The 3,907-nt window shown below is 36.6% G+C and overlaps 1 long non-coding RNA gene across 1 annotated transcript; it reads left to right on the top strand.

Moving 5' to 3' along the window:
* Nucleotides 1-393: 393 nt before the first annotated feature.
* On the top strand, nucleotides 394-3,698 carry LOC124904193 (uncharacterized). The gene is made up of 2 exons (XR_007066141.1): nucleotides 394-625; nucleotides 771-3,698. It is a non-coding gene; the product is annotated as an uncharacterized LOC124904193 (long non-coding RNA).
* Nucleotides 3,699-3,907: the final 209 nt, after the last annotated feature.

Here is a 3,907-nt window from a genome sequence, read left to right as displayed (position 1 = left end):
TTGATCTTTGATGATGGTGATGTACAGATGGGTTTTTGGTGTGGATGTCCTTTCTGTTTGTTAGTTTTCCTTCTAACAGACAGGACCCTCAGCTGCAGGTCTGTTGGAATACCCTGCCGTGTGAGGTGTCAGTGTGCCCCTGCCGGGGGGTGCCTCCCAGTTAGGCTGCTCGGGGGTCAGGGGTCAGGGACCCACTTGAGGAGGCAGTCTGCCCGTTCTCAGATCTCCAACTGCATGCTGGGAGAACCACTGCTCTCTTCAAAGCTGTCAGACAGGGACATTTAAGTCTGCAGAGGTTACTGCTGTCTTTTTATTTGTCTGTGCCCTGCCCCCAGAGGTGGAGCCTACAAAGGCAGGCAGGCCTCCTTGAGCTGTGGTGGGCTCCACCCAGTTCTAGCTTCCCGGCTGCTTTGTTTACCCAAGCAAGCCTGGGCAATGGCGGGCGCCCCTCCCCCAGCCTTGCTGCGGCCTTGCAGTTTGATCTCAGACTGCTGTGCTAGCAATCAGCGAGACTCCGTGGGCGTAGGACCCTCCTAGCCAGGTGCAAGATATAATCTCGCGGTGCGCCGTTTTTTAAGCCGGTCCGAAAGCGCAATATTCGGGTGGGAGAGACCCGATTTTCCAGGTGCGTCCGTCACCCCTTTCTTTGACTCGGAAAGGGAACTCCCTGACCCCTTGCGCTTCCCAAGTGAGACAATGCCTCGCCCTGCTTCGGCTCGTGCACGGTGCGCGCACCCACTGACCTGCGCCCACTGTCTGGCACTCCCTAGTGAGATGAACCCAGTACCTCAGATGGAAATGCAGAAATCACCCGTCTTCTGCGTCGCTCACGCTGGGAGCTGTAGACCGGAGCTGTTGCTATTCGGCCATCTTGGCTCCTCTCCTGGTAATCCTCTTATACATTTTTAAAAATTCTTAGTTCATTAGTTTTTAATCTTCCTTATTTTTAAAATAAATGTATTTATAATTTTTATTTTAAATATTGCTATAGCTGTAACTCACAAATTTTGTCATTTGGCTTTTTATTGTCTTTCAGATCTAAATTTTACTAATTTCCTTTCTGACTTAATTTTTACCTGTGATTTAGTAGTATTATTTTAATTATTGGACATATGGAATTTCAAAATTATCCTTTTGTAATTTATTTATGATATTATAGTATAACAATTAGATAACATAGTTTACATAATAAACGTTTTTTGCTTTTGCTGAGACTTTATTATTTGGCTGAATTTATAAACTTTCCAAGCACATTTAAAAAAAAATAACCTTTATTTAATCAGTGTAAAGCTTTGTTTATGTTTCAAATTGTCTATAATGTTTACATTTTTGTCTACTTCATTTTTTCAGTGTCTGTGATAAAAACATTAACATTTCCAGCTAAAGTTTTAATTTTATCTGCTGCATCATCATGTAAATTGTTGCTTTGTATATCCTGAAAATATGTTATTAGGTGCATATGTGTTCATGATTTATTACATATTCCTACTCTGTGAATTATTACTTATATCTCATAGTGTTCTTGTTTGTTTTTAAGTTCTGTTTTGCCTCATATGAAAGTTGAAGCTCTAGCATTCTGTTTTTCAGTATTTGTTTGGCATATCTGTTTATTTTCAATCATTTAGTTTCTTCTCAGTTCAAGTCTCTTATCTTCGACATTGCTGAATTTTTTATAAAACTATTATGGAAATATGTATCCTTGGAGTAATCTATTTTAATTATAAATAGCATCAGTACTTATTCCTACTATGTTATTTTTATATATCAATTGACGTATTTTTTCTCTTTCTTTTCTCTTAATTTTCCTCTCCCTTCTCCTTCTTTATTTTGATTCCCTTTATTAAGATTTTTTTTTTTTACTAGTTCAAAAGTTGGGTAATGTTTACTCTCATATATAAATTATAATTCAACTAGATATTCAAGTTGACTCAAGGTCTTTTCCTTCAAAACAAAAATTTTATGTCATTTTCTCCTCATACGTAGTGTAGCTATTTAGAATTTGATATTAATTTGATTCTTCACTATTTTAGAAAATTGTTTTAATATTCTGGAATTAATATTTTAAAAATTTATCTTTGAGTCTTGGGAGCTTTAAAAATTCTTTTTAATAGAGGTAGGGCTTGAAGAAATCTATCCTGTACTGAACTCTAGATCCTTTTGAATTTGAAGTGTCATAAATCTTTTCATTTTGTCAAATTATTGGTCACTATTCCCTCAAATACATTTTTTACTTCTACTTATGTCATTTGGGATTAATATTAAATATTGACCCTTCTACATATCTCTTCTACAAAACTTTTTATTTATTGTTCTTATTTGAACTTTCTTAATACCTCCAGTGATAATTCTTCACGTGGATCTTTGACCCACTAAATAACTTTGGCACTATATTCTGTAATTCAGCCTATCAATTTTTTTATTATAGTAATGGTGTTCTTATTACCAATAAATCCAAATAATTATGTTCCATATTTGCTTATTCCTGATTTGTTCATCTGTTATGCTCTCTATAATGTCTCTTTCTTTCTCTGTATAAATATTTAATAATACTTTTAATAATTATTGTTCTGTTTGCTTCATTTATTCTGCTGCCACTGCTATACATTGTTCAGTTTTTAGTATTTCTTTCCCTTTATTGATCTTTCTCAATATCTCATCATTTCCCCCTATGAACTAACATTTCCTTGAGACTCTCTGTTACTTTAGTCACCAATGTGTACCTAGAAGAAGGTTGACATCTGGACTCCTGCTTGTGATTTTCAAATTACCTATTAGTGATGAGGACAGCCTCTGGGGTTGCAATCCAGGCTTAACCATTTCCTATTTGCTGACCTCTCCTTCCTTTTGTAGGGACCCTTACCATTAGGGAATCTTCCAAGTGGTGACCCTGTGCTGTGTTGTCTAGTCTGAAGGCAGTGATCCTGTGCTGTGTTGCCTAGTCCATGGATTGGTCATGAAAGGGAGATGAAAAAACAATTAGAGGATCTTGGATCTGAGAATGTAAAACAGAGACAGAGGAAACATTCATGGAGTCAGATTCATCACAGTTCCAGTAGCAGTGGCAGGTGGCCAAGACTAGACCTGTGGTTTGCCTTTGGCTATGGCTATTATCCAGCGTGATCTGTCTATTATCTATCTATATTATCTATCTATCTATCTATCTATCTATCTGTCTATCTATGTAACCAATTTATTTGATTAAGAGACCCAGAGTATTTATCTTTTGCTAGCTCTGATAAATCCTGCTTAGAACACTATATGCTTTAACGTTTTAATGTAATAGCTTTAGACATTAACCAGAATATTCACTTCTGGGCCTGTCAGCTCGAAGAAACTTTTTATTTGCAATAAAAGATTAAAATGTAACATTATTGGTGTTGTAAGAGAAGAAAGACAACTGGATTTATGAATCTATTGCTGGCAAATTACTATTTTGAGTAATATATGAAAAACAGATTGGAAATGAGGTTTAGGGGCAAATGTTGCTTTGAAAGCAGGTGTCATGTATCACCCCCTGCCCCTAGTGAGAACAATTACTTGGTTTCCAGTGGAGCTTTTGCTTCCAAAGTGAAAGGAGAAATGTGGAAGACATTCCAGAGTTTAGCTGTTTATTTTATGTATTTATCCCTTAGTTGTCTTTCCTAATCATGGAGAAACCCCTGTCTGATTAATAAACAATTTCTGGCTCTGTTTCAGAATCTGGCTGCAGTGCATTTGCTATTTGATATTTGAGATATGTACAACATGTTCACAGTGAATTCTCCAACTGAAAACAGTAGAGTTCAAATAAAGTCAATTAATTCACAGAGTGAATGGATTGAAGCCCAGAATTGCATGTCTTGTAGAGGCCTTTTTGATTCACTTGCCAAAAGATATCTGTTTATAAATGCAGGAAGCATAACTATTT

Source organism: Homo sapiens, chromosome 1 (genome assembly GCF_000001405.40).
Source record: "Homo sapiens chromosome 1, GRCh38.p14 Primary Assembly".
NCBI classification, from domain to species: domain Eukaryota; kingdom Metazoa; phylum Chordata; class Mammalia; order Primates; family Hominidae; genus Homo; species Homo sapiens.
This window is presented reverse-complemented; position numbering and strand designations above follow the sequence as displayed.